Source organism: Homo sapiens, chromosome 5 (genome assembly GCF_000001405.40).
Source record: "Homo sapiens chromosome 5, GRCh38.p14 Primary Assembly".
NCBI lineage: Eukaryota > Metazoa > Chordata > Mammalia > Primates > Hominidae > Homo > Homo sapiens.
In genome coordinates this window covers 68,239,206-68,259,302 of record NC_000005.10, presented here as the reverse complement: position 1 = coordinate 68,259,302, position 20,097 = coordinate 68,239,206, and the positions used below count along the sequence as shown (strand labels likewise).

Sequence of the window (20,097 nt, the reverse complement as noted above, 5' to 3'; positions counted from 1 at the left end):
CATCACAAGCAAAAACAAAAGGTGAAATTTAATCTTTTATTTAACCCCACATATCCAAAATATAATCAACATATAATCAATATAAAAATTATTAAGCAGATAGTCTTCATTTCTCTCTTGTTTTATGCTCATAACACATCTCAATTTATAGCAGCCACCTTTCAGTGGCTCTGTGTGGCTTTGACCATGTGGCTGGTGGCTCCTGCACTGAGCAGCATGGCTTTAGAGGATGGCCTTCAATTTTTCTTTAGTGTGAACTTGGTTACTTAGAGAATGTGTTAGCTTTGAATACACAGCTAAGTATAAAGAAAAAAAGTATCATATTCCTTAGATGCTAAGAGGGTCAAATAAGAGGGTCTGTGTCCTTTTACTGTTAGCATGTATTAGATAAAAACAGCTTAACTCTATTGGAAGGCATTTAGTCGAAGTTGAGCTGGGGGCACTGATAGTGTTTGTTATGTACTAAGAACCTGCTGCAATACTAGGAACTTGGCATCCTGGCGTTTGTCACAATGCAGGGTGTGGAGTCAGAACAGCTTCAGAAATGGTGTGATTAATAACAGTTTCATCTGATGGCTCTCCATCTGCCACTGGCTTCCCTTAAAATAAGCATCAAAAGTGTCTGTGCACCTCTCATTAGAGACGGTCTGCTGACTGCAGAAGACAGAAGGTTCAATGATCAGGGAAAGACTGGTATGGTTCGGCTATTAAGTCAGAAAACCTAAGGCCTGCTTAGGTTCACATCTTGACATTATGAGCTGCAATAATTTCATTTACAAAGTTAGTGGTCATTAACATGTCTGATACTGGCTACAAGACAAATGAAAATAACTTAAAGAGGGCAGAGGTCGAAATATGTACATAGTATTAGAGGAAGAGGCAGGCACCTTAAGGAGCTGCTTTTCTTCCTGATAAGATGGCTCAGAGATGTATATAACACAGGATCCTCAAATTCAAAGTCTCTAATACATCCTTTTTCCAGAACATGCAGTTTAATGAATCCATTCTTATAGAACATGGAACCTATTTTTCAACTGTGTTGGTTATAATATAAAGTGCATTCTGGGCTTCAAACTCCTACTAAAAAGGTAGCATCCCCACGAGCTATGGAGGATTTTGAAGCAATTTAGCACCTCGTGCTGTCAGATGTTTTCTTACAACAGGTGCCCACAGTGCTTGCTCTTGGTCCTAAAACCTGACTCTAAGTGCATAGACTGAAGCTTCAACCCAGCTCCTAATTGACTCTTCTAAGAAAAAATGTGTTCACAGCTCAAATATCTGCTTCCAGTTTGGATCCCCAAGGGAAAACTATGTCTTCTAAAAAGTCAGGGTGCTATTGTTTTCTCTAAGCATAAAATGTGTTTTGGGTGTCAGAAACTGGAAGTGGCAAGCAGTTCCCAAACTCAGATTATACGATAACATTATAAATAGCTAAAAGGTACTGAATCAAAAATTATTATTCAGGAGAGGCAACAAGAAGATAACAGGGAATTATAGGCAAGGGAGTTTCCTTTGGAAATGTTAGTTCCTGGGGAACAGAGGCTATCTACAGTGGATGTCTGAAAAAGGCAATGAGGAGAGGACAGGGAATTAATATTATAGACATGGAATCTTCTTTGGAAATGACAGTTCCTGGATTTTAAAAGTGCTATATATAGTAAATGTTTGAAAATGTTAAACTACTCTGCAAAAATTGTCTAACAAAGGAAGGAAAACATAACTTTCCAGCATAGGAGTAAAAGTATTAGCAGAACATAATAAATTCAAAGTGTAGTACAGCCCATCTCTCCCCACCCCAACTGGCTGTCACAAATACATTACTCCCCTGTGGGGCCTGCCTTTGCACAGCCAGCCAGCCAAAGGGGTAAAAAGAACAACATTAAACCGTAATTACCGGGGCCTGCCTTTGCACAGCCAGCCAGCCAAAGGGGTAAAAAGAACAGCATTAAACTGTAATTACCAGCCCTTTGTTCATGGGTTACTCCTCCATGGTTATGTCTGCATTTTCATGTGATTTTTGGTAGACAAGACAGGGTGAAATGTGTGGGTCGGGGGAACTTCATGGCTCTTCCTCTGGATGGAGCAGCTATCAGCCACCTGTTCAGATTGCCTTGCGTTATGTACACTTTTACTTGCTCCTATAATTTAAAATGCTGAAGGGAAAAAAGCAGTAAGATTTTAGGGTAATCTGGGCTTGGCTGGGCCAGGCAGCTCTTGCTTCTGTGGTGCTCCCACCTCAGACTGGACCATGAAAGGTCCTGGGTTCCTGGTGGCACATATCACAGTGATGGCTGAGGAGGCCCCATAAAGCACGTCTTCCCTCTCCCTGGAGTGGCCACACCCTGAGACACATGCTCTGTACCACAGGACAAGTACTAATGTACTGCATCCCCGCCACTTGCCAGGTAACCAAGTTAGCTAAAACTGGCCAGGTGAATGTACTAACCTTCTTCAATAGGGCTAGGGCTAGGCCAAACTGAAAAATAGGAGGCTTGTCTTGAGCACTTGTTTTTTCTTTCCCAAACTTTTTTTTTTTTAACCCAGCTTGGCATTATTTTTTGTTCTCCATTATCTCACACTCTTGCTAATTGCCCCTCTCAATCCATGAGACTACATAGTGAATTTTGCACAACTGAGACTAGATGGTCATTCTGGATACCCATGTATGCATACTGTTGGTGCTTCAACAACAATCAACTTCATAAGGTAACAGAAAAGAAGTACAGCAATAATACCTTGAATTTATGTAGCCCTTTAAAAAATTACAAAATGTTGCTGGGTGCGGTGGCTCACACCTGTAATCCCAGCACTTTGGGAGGCCGAGGCGGGCGGATCACAAGGTCAGGAGATCGAGACCCTCCTGGTGAACACGGTGAAACCCTGTCTCTACTAAAAATACAAAAAGATTAGCTGGGCGTGGTGGCGGGCACCTGTAGTCCCAGCTACTCGGAAGGCTGAGGCAGGAGAATGGTGTGAACCTGAGAGGTGGAGCTTGCAGTGAGCCGAGACTGCGCCATTGCACTCCACCCTGTGCGACAGAGCGAGACTCCGTCTCAACAAAAATAAATAAATAAAAAATTACAAAATGTTTTTATACTTTTTTTTTGATATTCAAAGAGAAAAACAGAGTGGGGTGGTCAGAATGGAGAAAGACTCAGATTAATAACCACGTTCAGGCTGTTTTCATTAAAGAACAGAAAAACATCTAGTTTAAGGAATCAAGGTTGCTTTGAACTATGCACTATTTTGAATAAACAGATACTTGATGTTAAAGATTTTTGTGAACACGCCCCTATGAATTCAGCATCCCACTCCTTTCAACCAGGTGCTTCAGTAGAAAGAATAAAACCACACCACAAAGGCAGTCAGTTACCAAGCCTGCAAGGCCCATGGCTCTGTGGTTTTTGAAGATATTATCAGCATTTTAATGTGAAACGTCTTGCAGACCCAAAGCCCCAAATAATCACCACTTTTTGGGAATTTGTAATTTTCCAAATGACAACAAGAACATTTATGACTCTGTATATTATAATCTGTCGACTACAAGAGCTATTAATGACAAGAGAATTCCAGTGCTATAGGGAGCAGCTTTTTCACATTGATAGCCGTATGTTTCACTTTCGCCATCTGATTTCCTTCCAAGTTAGAAAAAACAGTGGAGACAATTAAATACTGAGACTGAGAAGTAAAATGAAGCTAGAGCTCAGAAAAGCAAACTTAAGTGTTTTCCTCAACTCCCATTATCTTCACAAAATCACTAACTCATTTCCCCCCCAAGCACTATTTTTGGGGGCAGGGCTTCAAATTAATGCATAGTCTATGAAGGTCATGAAGAAGCAGCTAACAAGTGACATTTGTTTTACCCCACTGCTGAAGCACAGGATGAGGCTGAATCGGAGGCTGACCCAGATAATGATGGTATTGGGATATAGCTTAGTGGAGAATGAATACCTCCAAAGTCTCCCAAACCTGAATCACCATTTGTTCCTTTACAACACTAACTTCCCTTTATCGGTAAGAGTGGGTTATTTCTTATATCCATGGCACGGAAAAATCTTTATCTGACAAAAATTTTGAGAGGACCAAAAAGTGAGTACTTTGCAAATCAGGGACTGAAACAATTCTCCTTTGGTCATTTTAGAAAATCAGATGCTGCTAAATTTCATCACCTACTTAGAAATCTCAGAAGCTCTAATAAAGCCCTGGAGCAACCCAAAGACAAATGTTCCAGGCCATTCCAGATTCATTTCCCTTGAAGGATCTCTCACCAGTAAGTGCAGCCTCTGAGCAGCAGCTCGTCCATTTGCAGAAAAAAAATTGTGGCCTGACTTGTGTCAACTAGGGACAAAGGCAGGAGAAGAATTTGGAGGTTACTCAGTGGAAAATTTAGGAATAAGAATCTGGAACCTTAAGAAACCTTGATTTAATTTAAGATACTGCTTTGTTTGCATCATAAAAAAAAAAAAGAAAAAAAGAAAAAGACTGTACTGATGCAATCTACTCCCCTGTATTATATAAAATTTTAAGACCTAAAAGAAACACGATTATGGGTATGAACCATAACTAAGCATTTCCAAGAGTGTCTTCCCTTAAATCACATTAAAATTGTAAAAGTAAGTTACAACTGGTGACAGGCCACTTATTAGTCCATTCAGGCCAGCTCCAAGATAACAATGACTTTAATATCAAACCAATATTCCATAACCCTCTCTTTAGAATTCTTGACATGAGGTCACTGTTTATTGAAGGCTTCACTAAAATAAAGTCTTTGTAAAGATACCCTTGGGGTTAGAGGCCTAAGATGAAAATACCTTAATATGATTTCTCCTTTATAGAGAGATTCCAATGTCCCAGCCATGGATCATTCATTCCTTTGGGGGTTTTATTTTTTATTTGTTGGAAGAGTAGATGATCCCTCTGGTCCTTTTCAAATCTAAAATCCCATGATTCGAAACTCTTTTCAGTAAACTTCCAATTTTCCATACTAATTGATGAAGAGAGAGAACAAGAGAAGGGGCTTGACCATACAAAACAATGAAACATCTCAACAGTTTATATGTAAGTTAAGGATGCAGAATCATTCTTTTCTTGGGAATAAGTCTCTCCTGGTTTATCTTTGTATTTGGCAACTGCCAGAGAACAGGGAGTTCACAGAGCAATCCTGAGAAGTTTGCTCCAACACTGACTGGTCAACTGATTTATACAACATTCGAGTGTGCAGACTCACATTTACTTGCTGCATTTATGACCAAAGGGCAAACATTTAAAAATCACTCAAGATTCTGGAAAGGTTATAAAATACAAAAAAAAAAAAAAAAAGGGGGTCCACGGGAAAATAAAAAACATGACATTTATTAGCTCTTTTCTTGGAGTGGATATACATGGGTTTATAGTTCATTGTTTTCAGTCATCCTATGACTAAATAAGCTTTCCACCTGCTTAGTCAAGTGCTGAGAGAATATGACTACACCAAAGGATGTATGAAGCATGCATTTAATTTATCATAAAGAACTGTAATAAGGCAAATGTGCGCAGCTGGAACTAACTTGTACCAGATTTCGCCAATCCCCAAGCTCATAGTAGATACTTGCTAACACCTCCAGAAGTTCCGGCTGTTTTTAATTAATAGCTCATGTTGGGGGCATCTTGCCTGACTTACTAGAATGTCATTTTATTTAAAATAGGGTTCTGAACCTTAAAAAAAAATAGATCCCTTTATTTTTAAGTCAAGTAAATGATCCAAATAGAAATTTAAGTTTGGCTCTTTTAAAGGCAGCAATATTTCACATTGAATGTGCTCCCGAGGCCAGAGGAAATGTTCTTTCCTTTCCTAAAATTTCTAGCCAAGTACTCACAAACCCAGTTTCTTCCCAAGAATATTTGTTTTTTTATTTCTCAGAGCCTAGTTTTAAAAGGCTGGAACCTTTCACAAGTCAGAATAATTCCATTTGCTAGCTGGCTCTTTCTCCAAGTCCAGCTTGAATCCTATGGGACACATAAATCCTTGTCTGAAATGTAGGATAAGTGTCATGAAACATGCTAGGAAATTGGTAAACCACAGCTCAAAGCATAAATACAAAGATATAAGCGAAATCTACTCTAAAGTAAAACTATGACAAGCAGAAATACCACAATGCATTAATTCTTTAGCTAAGGTAACAAAAATATTCAAGGAAAAAGTATGTGTGTTATGACAAATCTGGGGAGAAAATAAAAATGCAACGTAGATAAAAATTAGTATTGCTAGGAGAAGAGACAAGGTAAATAAATGCACACTTGCCCTGAATTACCTAAGCCAGACATAAAGTCAATTTTTCCTGTCAAGTACTGTGTCAGGTGCCATCTGGGAAAAAAAACTGGGAGCATCTGAGAAAGGTGGAATCTGAGGGAGAAAAGGCAGAAAAGGGCATATTTTACAGCTACCATGCCGTATAGCCAATTGCCACTGGATGGCAGCGGGGTTTTACTTAGCAAAGTTGCTAAGAGCATTAGGATTGGTCATTCAATATCTGCCCTACATGTTCGGCCCCAGTAACTCAAGGTTTCAGGGAAATACAAAGTAGCTCCTTCCCACCCCCAAAATTGGGGATCTGTCCTAGAAATTGCAAATCTTTGTTCTGATTATCAGTAAATCCCTTGAAAATTACTAATTTACTATCAGAGTAAATTAAATTGGGAACTAAAATTAGAACTTCTAATAACTTCTACAATTTTGAAATTCAGAAAGCAAGCACACATGTAATCACATTTGCACGCACACATCCCTACAGTTTACTATTGCAATATTATCATCTTGAGCCCAGTACAACAAATTGGAACCACATTTTATTCTACTTTTTCTTGTTAACTTGATGGCTTCACCACACTTTTAAATGCTACACACTCCCTTCCCTCTCCCTTGGCATCTGATCCCCCCACTTTTTTTTTTTTGTAAATTCAGTAATCTCACCAGCAACAAGCTTTGCTTTCAAATAAGCATATCTGCCAACTTAAACAGCATCTCCTAAGGCAGCGGAGTAATGAAAGACACATGTAGGTACTTGCCTGTCATCAGATGCAAGCTCACGTCTGCCTGAAATTGGGCCTGTAATTCTGCTGATCCTCGGGTTCAGGACAGCATGGCCGAGAGTGGTCTACAATGCGGCCCTTAGTCTAAACAGCAGATGAAGGATGCAAGGGGCCAACCTTTTTCATCCCTGCTGGGCTCTTGACCAGTTGTTGCTCTTTAGTTCAAGGGGGAGATGTGAGGGATTGCTCAAACACTTGGCAGACAGAAAGGTCTTAAGACAGCAAGTAGTGAATTCTACCTCATTCCTGCTGATGAACTTGAGGCAGTGCTTTCCAAGCCCAAACTCATGATCCAACCAGAACATCTCCAAGAACAGTCACTCCTGCACACAGCCAAGGCTCCACCACCCCCAACCGGGTGAGGGCCCTACACAACTCCTGATCTGAGCCCCTCCTCAGATGAGACAGAGTTTGCTCCTTTCCCTCTCATAATGCAGTCAACTGTGTGATTTCCTTTGGGGAAATACAAACATTTTGTTTAAAAACTTGCAAAGTCTGAAGAATGGAAAAGTGTGAAAAGGCTGAAAAACTTGAAAGAAAGGAGTTGTAGTTCTGTCCATAAAAAAAGCTTCCTACTTTTTTGCAGCTGGGGCTACCATCAGAAATCAGTGGCTGATTCATCCAGGCCTACAGGAATCCCCTCTTTCCACCCCGCCCCCACCACCTACAGACTGACTTGAGCACCCTTTTATGCCCTTCCTGTAAGTGTTAGTGAACGGCTTACAAACGTTCAGTGCCCTTAGTTCTGCCAAACAAGTAAAAACTTCAAGGGTTGTGAGGGCTCACGAAGACATACTCATTATAAAAATTATTATTTTTTTAAAAAAGGAACCTAACAGGGTCCACTGAAAAACCAACTCATCAACACAGTTTATATCTTCCATCTTCTGAACTGGCAGCCTAAAAGTCATCTCAAGCACAGGGCTACCAGAGATGTGCTGCAAAGTGTTTTTTTTAAGAGGTTTCCACCAGACATTATTAAATTACTATTTTAAAATTAAATCTAGGATCCAGGAATTTTACCTTCCATAATAACAAGGGTGAGAGTAACTAATATAACCACTGTATCCTCCACCTTGAAGAATCTCTTCAGATAGTTGAAGTAGGATCCTTATCAGAAAGCGGTGGCAGTAACCCATTGTGTGCTGACTGGTTTTTATCCTATCTGGAAATCAATCATTTCCCTCCCTTTCCTTCTCCCTTGGGGAATTACAAAACAGACACGGAGCACCAGATTAACTTTCCTTTGTTCACAAAACGAAAACATACACACTCTCTTAAAATTATCTTCTGAAGGATATGAATTAGGCTTCCTCTTGAGCTCAGTACTGCTGGTAAGCAGGTTCTGAAGTCTCATAACTAATCTAAAGAACTCCAAGAGCACCAATTCAAGCTCCTCAAGTAGTGCTGGTTTTAGGAACTTAGGGCTGAGGACACATAGGCCTGCTAACAAAGCAAGGGCTCTCCTCGCAGGGCTGAATGCTAATAATAGGAAGTCTCCAACTTACATGTGGATTGTGTTTCCAAAGCTCATTTGTAAGCTGGCTGTGCGAAATCCAGAACACATTTTCCCCAAAAAAGCTTTATAAATGGTGGTTAGGTCCTGAGATTAGATCCCCAAAGTCTATTTCACTCAAGTGATTTTGCATGACTACATTGGCAATGACTGCAAACGGGCATGTTTTGGTGACATAAAGGGTAATATAAACTTCAGTAAACAAACATGGAAAACTAACTCACTTATCATAGCTTCTATTATATGTCTAAGTCTATCAAGGCCAATGGAAATAATCTAATCCCCCCACGCCTGACTTTCATCACTGATGTCAGAGGCAAGGAGCTGACGGAGCTGGGGAAAAGCAAAGGGCTGGAAGGCAGGCAGCAGAAGACGTGTGGCAATGCCAGAGAGCAATGCATGGGTTTCCACTGCCTTCCCATGCTGGGGCCTGTCTCTAGGACCCCCTGTCCCGTGGCAGGCACCCACTCTCTGCTCCTGCTCCCACAATCTGAGGAGCAGGCAGTGAAGCCTAAGCTCCTTAGACCCCAGAGAGAAAAGAAACACAGTGAGCTGGAGAGGAGCAAGTGCTAAGGGCGAAGGAAGACACACACCACTGGGGGTCTCCCAGCTGTTCCCAAGGTGTGCCGCTCACCCAGCTGGGGTGGCACGCTCGCTCATGCTCTCAGCTTCCCTCCATTAAGTTTTTAGCTACCCTCAAGGCAGTGAAAATTTTCTCTTCCCTTTGGTGACCCCAGAATCCAGCCCAACACTTGGCATAGAGTAAGCACATAATAGATGACTGTGAACAGTGATGGCCAGGGAACTATCTTCAGTTCTTTAGGGGTTCCCAGATGGGTATTCATCCAGTTATTCATTTGCTCACCAAATAGTCTATCAACTGTCTTCTACCTGAAAAACTTCAAATGGCTACGTGACTGAGAAAGTATCTATGTTAACGCCCCCCACCCCACCACAAGCAGGCCCCTTTCAAAGAGTACTTGAAATACCTGGTAATTGGTGACTATAAACACCTATTTAAATGCAGCTTTATGGGAAGCTAAGTCATTACCATAGTAACATAGTAGTAGAAGCTACTGGGTTAACAGAATTCCTACAATGGCTTGTTGAATTAACCAATGTCATTTAGTGAAAGAAATAGTTTAGTTAAGAAGTCCAATGCCCAATATGATGTTATTTAAAAAAGAAACAATTTAAATACTTCAATGTGTGTTTAACTGGATTTTGTGATAGGACCACTTAGTGCAGGGTAGATAATATGTCCAGGCAGTATTTTAACAACCCCGTACATCTGGTTTTATGGAAATATAATACAAAAAGACCAAGAAGAGATACCATGATATAGAACTGATGGTTGAGAGAGTAAAAATTAAAAAGGGATAAAAGTTGATTGAGTAGAAAAAGCAGAAACAAAAGTTTCACATGCACCTAATTCTACTCTTCTTTGGTGGTTCCAGGAACAAAACCAACTGGAACAGGAAAATGACTCTGAATTTTAAATAATGAGTAAGCATATATTCCTTTTCCTAAAGGAAGAGACAAAAATAGAAGAGAAAGAAGGTATCATTACTGGTAAATGGGTAGGTCTTGACAGAAGGAAATTACACAGCCTGATTATAACAATGCATTTCAACCTCCCTACATAAAATGCTCATGTCTTAAATTCCTTGGTAATATTTATGAAGCTATCTTATTTCCCCTCTATCTCACCTTTTTGAATCACGCTGCAATACTATGTATTAGCCTAACGCTGACATCCATAGCAGTATGCTGGAAAATGCAAACATGTTCACTTCCTTCAGAAAATATCTCTTGGTTTATTATGGCCTCACTCCAACCACTCTTCTGTTTGGTTTTTGCTTTTATTATGCTCTACTCATTTAAATTCATCAATATGTTGCTTTGTAACAGTTTACATTTTTTTTGCACACATATATAGGTGTACTACATAAAAATTGAAACAAATAACATATAGTTCTTCCAATTTCCCTTGTATGACCTCTTTCTTTAGTTGTTACAGTGCTTAGTTCCCAGTGGTGGATAAATAATTTTGCCAAAACAATTGACCAAACATGTCATGCCAACAAAGGGTATCAAATGATTATCTGGGTAGTGCCTTAGAATTCCAAATATGAACAGACGTAAAGAAAAAATAAGGACACTAACAAAACAGTATTGGCTTTATTCATAAATTTGTTAGGATGTCCACCAACACACACAATCACAAATAGATTACTAATCTTTGGTAATCTTAATTTTCTCAAGAATTGAAGGGTGTTTAGATACAGAGGACAATGAGGGGAGGTGGATTTAAGATAATATTAAGAATCAAAAACTGCTATGCTAGTGTTTTATATTTAAATCTAAGTCATCTTAGTAACTGAATTCATATATCTATCCAGATAGTGGGGAAAACACCATTAAAAAGAACATTGTTGGCCAGGCATGGTGGCTCATGCCTGTAATCCCAGCACTCTCGGAGGCCGAGGCAGATGGGTCACTCTTGAGGTCAAGAGTTCAAGACCAGTCTGGCCAACATGGCAAAACCCCATCTCTACTAAAAATACAAAAATTAGCCGGGCTTAGTGGCATGTGCCGGTGGTCCCAGCTGAGGCAGGAGAATTGCTTGAACCCAGGATGCAGAGGTTGCAGTGAATTGAGATCCCGCCACTGCACTCCAGCCTGGGCAGCAGAGCAAGACCCTGTCAAAAAAAAAAAAAGAACATTTTCCCAGTATGGAAATACTTGAGAATTTTCAAAACAAAAAACTGTTTTTGTTTTATCAAATGCACCTTAAGGACATTCAATGACTCTGGGGCAATGATGCCGTTTAGGGCAGTTATCTTTGTATGGTGCCCATGATCTGGAAAAACAGGCCCTGGCACCAAAGGCCAACGTCACCACTGGCCTGTCCCGTTGGGCAGGAAATAATGGATTTCAGAGGCTGGAATGAAGGAAAGCCCAAACTAACAACAGAGTTAGAAAAATGTTTTCAGCCTGTAGTCCCAGCTACACCAGAGGCTGAGGTAGGAGGATCAGGTGACCCCAAGATGTCAAGGCTACAGTGAGCCATGTTGATGCCACTATACTCCAGCCTGAGTGACAGAGGAAGACCCTGTCTCAAGAAAAAAAAAAAAAAAAGGCCACGTGCAGTGGCTCACACCTATAATTTTAGCCCTTTAGGAGGCTGAGGCAGACAGATCACTTGAGACCAGCCTAGGCAACATGGTGAAACCCCATCTCTACAGAAAAATTAGCCAGGCATGGTGGCGCACGCCTGTAGTCCCAGCTACTCAGGAGGCTGAGGCGGGAGGATCAACTGAGCACAGGAGGTTCAGACTGCAGTTAGCCGTGGTGGAAAGAAAGGCAGAAAGACAGAAAGAAAGAAAAAAGAAAAATGTTTTCAAAATCAATCAAGCCTCTAAAATGTGTCCAATTAAAATCCACTGATCTATTAAAATGGAATTCTATCTCAAAAAATATAATTTTAAGAGAGACCATGAGAGCAGCATACCTCCTCTACTCAAAAAACTATTATGACTTAGAGATGAGCCATGATAAATTCAAAGCACAGGGAAAAGTTCCATATCAAATCACATATTTCCAAGCCCCTTATCCAAAAGCACCGCTGAAAGAATTCTATTTCGATCACACTACTAACTACCTGTGAGAACGGCAAACACCTTTTAGTTTTAGTTCTTCCTTTTTACCAATAGGTGGCAAGATTTATTGCTAAGACAATTTAGGCAAAGGATTCAGCTTCAGAAAGACTGCCTTTCCTCTCCCCTCTTAAGGCTCAGCATTTTTTTTTTTCTCTTACTAATGAGCTATTTGACAGTAATCATAAAACCAAAATATTTGTTATTTATTAAGCTACTGCAATTTTGGATTTGTAAAGGAAAAAGAAGTCCTGGAAATCTTTTAAAAAGACACACAACGTGGTGGCAGGCGCCTGCAGTCCCAGCTACTCGGGAGGCTGAGGCAGGAGAATGGCGTGAACCCAGGAGGCGGAGCTTGCAGTGAGCCAAGATCGCACCACTGCACTCCAGCCTGGGCGACAGAGCGAGACTCCGTCTCAAAAAACAAAAAATAAAAAAGACACACATGGACGGGCGCGGTGGCTCACGCCTGTAATCCCAGCACTTTGGGAGGCTGAAGCGGATGGACCGTTTGAGGTCAGGCGTTCCAGACCAGCCTGGCTAACATGGTGAAACCCTGTCTCTACTAAAAATACAAAAATTAGCTGGGCGTGGTGGCGGGCACCGGTAATCTCAGCTACCTGGGGGGCTAAGGCAGGAGAATCGCTTGGGCCCGGGAGGCAGAAGTTGCAGCGAGCCGAGATCGCGCCACTGCACTGCGGCTTGGGCGACGAGTAAAACTCTGTCTCAAAAAAAAAAAAAAAAAATATACACACCAAGTGGACAAAGCAAAAGAGACTCTGCAGGGAAGGGGATGGCTAGGCATAGTTTTGACATTATTATGACTTCCAAATAAGGTATAAAGTATAGAATACACCCATACAGCATACTAAAGACTTTGGAATGGCTCACAACCAAACTTGTACGGTAATGAAGATATATAATGTAAAAAGAATACAGGTGTTTACCAGAAAACATCCTTCAAGGGACAAGACTTATAAATGCAATGGAAACTGTCTCAAGAAACAAAACTTTATTCCAGTGGTCTCTTTGGGGAAACATGTACACAGCTATTCAGCAAATTCACTGTCACCTTCATTGCAACTGAAGAGAATAAATACTCAAGTATGTGTCTTAGAAAGAACTGGTCAGTCCATGCTTACTAACTTATGTAATTCTGCAATAATCTAACTTCATTTCTTCTTTGGACAGCCTCAAAAAAGGTGAAGAAGAGTTCATTACTACTCTCCATAAAACACTGCTTCATATAATTTTCAACTGTTTAAATTGGTCCTTGGTCTTTATTTTCTGTGGCTAAACAATTTCAATTCCTTTCATTTTCGTCAGGTTTAAATGCATTGCTTAAGTCTAAAAAGTAATTTTTTTCATGTTTGTCCCAAATGTATTTTTTAATTTTTATTTTTGAGTGCCTCACTGAAATCCTTGGCTTGGTAGAGGTCATCAATTCTATTTTACAGATGAGAAAACCAAGGTTAAGTATGTTACCGTCTTTAGGTCACACAGCACATTAGTCACAGCAATTAGGACTAACGGTTAGCCAAGGGCATTGTTCAGAACTCTGAGACGTCCAGCCTATTTGCAAGTGCTCCATGTAAGCAAGAACAATGAATGGAAAAGAACAAAAGTGCAATGCTGCATTGGTGATTCTATAACATCAGCAACAAACTCTTTCTCCTATATATCTCCCACATGCTCATAAGGACCCAAACAGCATATTTAAAACTCAACTATTTTTTTTTAAAAAAAAAGCATATTTGTCTAAATTCTTAAACTTTCCAAGACGTACTACCACTGCTAAATATATTCACGTATAATGCAATAAAGAATTATAAAATATAATGAAAATTTGCTGATATACTTATGTAGTTCAAGTTTTTCCTCCAACTAGGAGGCTCTTTGGATTAGAAAATAAGAGATAGCTAACAAGACCCATCATATATTCTATACTGTATTCTTTTCCAATGTTGAAATCTATTTCGTCCTTTTGAAGTCAGCCAGCTGAGTCTCAGAGAATCAACCCAAAGCAGAGTGACTTGGATGCCTGACTTAATCTGGCATTTAACTGTATGAGTGCCTTTACCCCTCTGTTTTGCCCCTCAATAACAGAAAAATTATTCCTTGTGCCAAGGGGATGCAGAGAGGTTGATAAAACTGCATGCTACTTTGGATTTCTTAGAAATTGTCCATAAAACTCATGGAACATGTTATGAGATGGAATATCATAGATGATGTTCAGTTAAAGATATGGTTTCTTAACATCTAGTCCCACAGAGTCACATTAGATCTGAGAAGTTCAAACAAGTGCATTTTTCTAAAATGCATGTTGCCTTATAACTATCATTCCAAAACGAAGGAAGAAAACTTCAAATTAACAAGGGATATAACCAGTTAACTATTCAGTGAACAGCAGCATTCATATATTCAGCACGAATTACAATGTGGTTACAGCTAAAACTCTTTTTTTTTTTTTGAGGTCCAGAGCAGAAGTTTAATAGGTGAAAGAAAGAGAAAAGCTCTCTGAAGCGGCGGCGGGGGGCGGGGGGGCGGTCCTAGAGAAATAGGCGGCCCTAAAACTCATCTTCATACCCACAGAAATTTTATTTATTACTTGATATAAAATAAGCAGTTAGAAAAAAGTTTTCACAAGGACCACTGAGTGAACTTAATGTTTCTAATTAAAATACCCATAAATAAATCCCAAAGTCTTTAATTATGATCCATTTAGTCAAGAGACTTTCAACACATGCTTTTTGCTAAATCCCACTGGGGAAAAAAATAAAAGGAATTTTCTGTCACTCAAGTCCTGTACCTATGCAAATACGCTCCATACAACTGTTTTCTGCATCCAATTATTTTTTCTTCTACCTAACTGGGGGGAAAAATCAAGTTACATTATTTCAGTTTAAAAAGGTTTTTATATATAAATAAAAAGTCACCAAGGATGGCTGGTTAACAGAATTCTGGTTTGCCCTGGATAAACATATATTGCTGCTTATATCCATCTGCAATTTAATCTTAGTAGAAAATATAATTAATGTAGCCACAGAACACTCCAAATTAATGCTTTAATTTAAACTACAGCTGTTTAATCTTCTCATTGTAAGAGAACAGAATACCTAACACTTGATGCTAGAAGAGCAGGAAGTAAACAAGAGTGAAGAGAGGAAACTGAAATTACTCAATTGTCCACGAAGCTTAAGGAGCCATTTTACATAGTCCAATTAAGTAGCCCCTCATCACTCTCATTCATTTAATCATTTCATGGCAGACTATTCAGAATCTGCATCCCAAAGGTAACTTGTTTCTGCCCGTGATCCACCAAAATTAACTGAGCAGCTGCTTTATGCTGAAGCCCTGGGCTGGGAGCTAGTCTTGATGGTACAGTAGCTCCTTCAGGTTAACGAATTGAACTGTCACTAAAGGAAAAGAAAGGTGGCAACGGATAAACTTGTTTGCAGTTGGTTTACACATTTTCTCCAGTGACCATTCTGGGAAAGAAAGAAAGGTGCAACTATTAGCACAAATTTGGTAGAACAGGACTTTCTAACTCCGCCCTCTTTTAATTCACTGCAACTTCCCTTGAAGAATTTTCTAGGTTATGACCTCCATAGATGGTTCTTCCCAGGGCTGAATTTTCTCTGAGGAAAATCCTCTCATCTAGTTAGAGTTCATAGGAGAGGACATATTTTTTTAAAACAGGAAACAGAACATCAAAACTTTTCAAAGTTTTATGTGTCTAATCAAAGCAGTGGAACAAATCTTTTCTTAATCAAAATTATACTTTAACAGTCAGAGACCCTAGTAGATTTTACATGTTCAAAAACTAACAATTCTTCTGATACCAAGAACATATGTGAAACATACAAGTTATGTTTCACATAATACAGAAGCAAAGGGCTCAAAATGGGCCTTACTCTTTCATCGTGGCCTTTTGTAAAAATTGCGACAGTGGACCAGTGGGATTTCTGGCAGGAAAGAAGTCCCATCAGAGGCTGGCTTTTTTTTTTTTAAGGCCTTGCTTATGCAGAAAATTCTTGCTTTTTCCATTATGTGGTGTCTGGGGACGGTGGGAAGAGGAAGGCTTCTTTCTATACTTGTAGAGCACTGTAATTTAAAATGAGTCATGCAAAACACAAATGAAAATGTTAACCTCTGAGATGGGGGTCAGCAAATTTTATTCCCGCTTAGATCCAGTCTTCTCTGGCCAACTTGACTAAATACAAACCAGGGGCTTTCCCTGGATAGTCACGCTCCAACTTACCCAGACACTGAGGGCCAAGTTCAAAAGAAGGCAAGCTCAAGAAGGAGGCCTCTAGAATTAAGAAATCCTTGGCCATGGCTCAGTTCATGGACAGGCCTTGGGCTATCCCGTTCAACTCAGCATACCTCCCATTTCACAGGTGTGAATTTCCACCTCCCATCACAGCTCTTGGGGATACCCTAACTCCTTAGACGGGTAGAATGATCTGTCCTGGTGGCAAGCCATATCACAGTAGCTGACACAGTCTCCTGGGTCCAGCCTGGGAAAGCATTTGAGTTCCTATCTACCCATGGAAGGCCTCTCTTCTGGGGCTTACTGCCTTGCCTCACTGGAAGTCGTGCTTCCAATAAAATCATTAAACCCAGGTTGATGATATAATGGAAGCACCCAGCAACTAGGACTTTTCTTTTGGCTTCATACATTATGACTATGGTGTGAAGTTTGACCACCGTGTATTCTCTGACCAAGATTCAACTTGAGGCCACATGAAAAACTTCAGACACTTGATCCATGTTCTAGCCCCAAAACCTCTAAGTCAGAGCTGTTTCTTTCCTCTATGCAAAGATTAACTTTTTGCCTAACCCATCAATTAAAACACAAACATTTTTCTAGGTTGGAATTGCTATAAGGAGTACAACTCCATATTCTCAAACTAACACTATTCAAATAGCACAACACTTTTGCCTAAATGGAATGAGGGCATTGCTTTAACCTGTGATACTTCGTATTCTTCCCTTTTTATTTCAAGTAAACTTTGAAAGAAGTTGATGCATTTTATCCAAATGTGTGTGCAAATTGTCATAAATAAGTCTCTGATTTGATACATGCTTCTAGTACATGATTTTGACAGAAATGAGATATTGGCCAATCAAGCATTTTTAATATCTATAAGATTCTTAAATTAGTTTGAAGGTAACTGGTGTATGGGTAAAGATCACAGAAATGTGAGATTGTATTTAAAAGTCTACAATTTACAGGCAACTACTTGCTAAGATTTAGTTAATACCACTAGAGGTTCCTTTCCTCCTGCAACTCGTCTTGAGGGTGGTACAGTGTGGTGCTGGGAAGCACCCATCCTGAAGTGAGAGAGGCTGCATGCAAAGACCAGCTCTTTACCAGCTACTAGTGTTGGACTCTGGGCAAGTTTCTTTTTCTTTCTAAGCCTCAACCTGCAAATAGCACTAAGTGGACTAAGTGAGATTAGGTAGGTAGAGCACACAGCACATGGTGCCTGGAACAAAGCAAATGTTCAATGCTTGCCTGCAATTGTGTTAGTAAGGAGTCACATTAAAGAAATTTCAAATTTTTCATCTCAGAGGTAAAACATTTCATCTTGCATGTATTTAAGAAAAGGAAAATGTAGCATCTCAATGTAATGAACTAAAAACAGTACTGTAAAAAAAAAAAAAACAAAAAAAATTGTAACCACCACCTTTTCAGCAAATCAAAAATGCAGGTAATTATTCAACTACATGCCCAGAATAAAGTAACAAAATTAATCGAACATGCACTGGGGTTTTACTAAAACTATTAAGTATCAACTCTTCTTTTTAAACCTTATAAACAAAAGATTTTTTTTCCTCTCATTTTAGGAGGCCTTAATTACTATTAACTAGTAGTCATCAGTATTATTAATAGTTACTATAACTATTGACCCCCACCAGGACCATTTCCTTCTCTTAGGAAATTATACATTAAATGTGAGACAATATAATGTGAAGATTACTAACTACAATTGCTAAGTTATAATTTAAAACATTTCAATATGTGAACTAAACAGCATTTGGTGCTGGTGAAAGATGGTCCCTTAGGAGTCCACTGAATCAAGAGACTCGTCATCATCTAAGCAAAACCCTCACTAGAAAATAGAATGAGTGGGGTTGCCTGGGAAGTGGAGAGTGACAGTGGTTTTGTATTTTGGAAAAAGATCACTGTGAAACTCACCTCATCCTTCTCTTCTAGAATATATGAAAGGCAACTGGTCTCACAGCTAGACTATAACAAAACCAGGAAGGAAAGAAGAAAGGAAGGAAGGAAAAAATATTTTCATTCTTAAAGAACATAATTACCCAAAATATTAAAGGCATGTAACAACTAGATTGGCATTCACCGAAAGCAGTTATGGGGATAAAAAACAGTTACAGTGACAATTCACTTATTTGGGGTAGGCAAAGAGGTCTCAGAGTCTGCTGCAGACTCAGGTTCCTGGCAAAGAAAACAAGAGTAAACATTTTTTGCATCTTGTCAAAGTTTTCCTTATTGAGGGCCAAAGTTAGATGATTCCAATCACAGAAGGGCTGGAGAGATGTGGTCTGACAAGAACTGGAGTTTCAGTTAAACAACTGTGAATTTTATGCTCCAATATGTTTAAACTTCCTCTAAATGTTAAAGCTGACCAGGTTTCTCAAGTTTCCCCTAAGGGGAAGATTAGACCACAAGTGACAGTTACAATATAACTGTACACATAATGCCAATCCAAACAATGAAGGCTAGTGAAGTAGAAAGAGCTGGCTTTCAATCCTTTCTCTAAAGCTGCTTTTAGTAGAACAGTACACTCAATTATAAAGGCAGATTTGTACAGTGTACCCAATAATGGCTTTTCTATATGATGGTTTAAATATAACATTTACTACATATCATATACGAATACATATTATATACAAATATATATTTATACATAAACATTTATATATAAGTAATATATATATAAAAGTTGAATATTATATAAATCTATAATGTTATCTACAACATTAAGAAGCACAAGCCAAGTGAGGGCTACACTGAAAGTTAAAATTTTAGCCAGTTAAGAGCCACAGTTTCCAACATGCAGGAGGAATGAACTGCCCTTTAAAAGTAATCACCTCTTTCCAGCCTGCGGTTCTGATGAGGTTCTTTTGCTGTAAGGAATAGTAACTCACACATCTGCTTTATTCTTTTCAGTTGTTCTTGTGTCTGTTTCCTGAGAGGAAAAATCTGCTTGTTTAACTCACTTTGTCATATCAGACCGCATCACACGTCACTGGCAAGCCAGGGAGTCATCTGCCTTTGGCTCCGGGGTGCCTTGTGGCTGGTCGGAAGTCAGCAGCATCAAGCAGTGTGAACATTAACCCCCGGCGCCCCTTTCGCTGTATTGCACAGTTGCTTAAGAGCATTGGGTCAACAGTCAGACTGTTTGGGGTCAAATCCCAGCTCCTCCACTAGCTGTGTGACCTTGGGCCATCTCTAACTAAACTTGTTTATCTTTAAAACAGGTATAATAAGGCCAGTGTCACAGAGTTCTTAGGAAAAGTAACAAGTCAATGGAATAAAAGGTTAGTGCAGTACCTGAAAAATAATGCGTGTGTTGAACACACAAATATATGTATATGGTCAATTTTATATGTATATATGTATGTGTATATACGTACATACATATGTTAATGTCTGTATTTCTTTAAAGTAGTCATATATAGTAAACATTTTCCCTGTATTATTTTTATTCTTTCTTTGTTGCCTATCTTTTGGAATATATATTTCTAGGTGTTTAGAAGATACATACTTTATAGTTTTATTATTTTGATAATTACTGAAGTTAACCAAAATGAATTAAGTTT

General features: G+C 39.3%; 1 protein-coding gene across 6 annotated transcripts in view, besides 2 other annotated features; it reads right to left on the bottom strand.

Moving 5' to 3' along the window:
• Positions 1-20,097, bottom strand: part of PIK3R1 (phosphoinositide-3-kinase regulatory subunit 1) — an 86,066-nt gene that overhangs the window by 42,519 nt on the left and 23,450 nt on the right. The window contains exons 1-3 of one of the 6 annotated variants that reach the window (XM_047417316.1): positions 19,366-19,458; positions 18,449-18,499; positions 7,045-16,347 (exon numbers count right to left, since the gene is read on the bottom strand). The exons of 4 other annotated variants lie outside the window; for them this stretch is intronic. In XM_047417316.1, the coding sequence (XP_047273272.1) occupies positions 7,045-7,051 (7 nt within the window). In that variant the 5' untranslated portion in view covers positions 7,052-16,347; positions 18,449-18,499; positions 19,366-19,458. Of the gene's footprint in view, positions 1-7,044; positions 16,348-18,448; positions 18,500-19,365; positions 19,459-20,097 lie in introns of those variants that run through there. One more of the 6 variants, XM_047417317.1, reaches the window with a different exon arrangement.
• Positions 8,547-9,164: an enhancer, noted in NCBI's record as "H3K4me1 hESC enhancer chr5:67545967-67546584 (GRCh37/hg19 assembly coordinates)". NCBI's record gives its function as "activates a minimal SCP1, AML or CMV promoter by ChIP-STARR-seq in naive H9 embryonic stem cells {active_cell/tissue: H9 hESC(naive)}" and the evidence as "EXISTENCE:reporter gene assay evidence [ECO:0000049][PMID:30033119]".
• Positions 9,165-9,782: an enhancer, noted in NCBI's record as "NANOG-H3K4me1 hESC enhancer chr5:67545349-67545966 (GRCh37/hg19 assembly coordinates)". NCBI's record gives its function as "activates a minimal SCP1, AML or CMV promoter by ChIP-STARR-seq in naive H9 embryonic stem cells {active_cell/tissue: H9 hESC(naive)}" and the evidence as "EXISTENCE:reporter gene assay evidence [ECO:0000049][PMID:30033119]".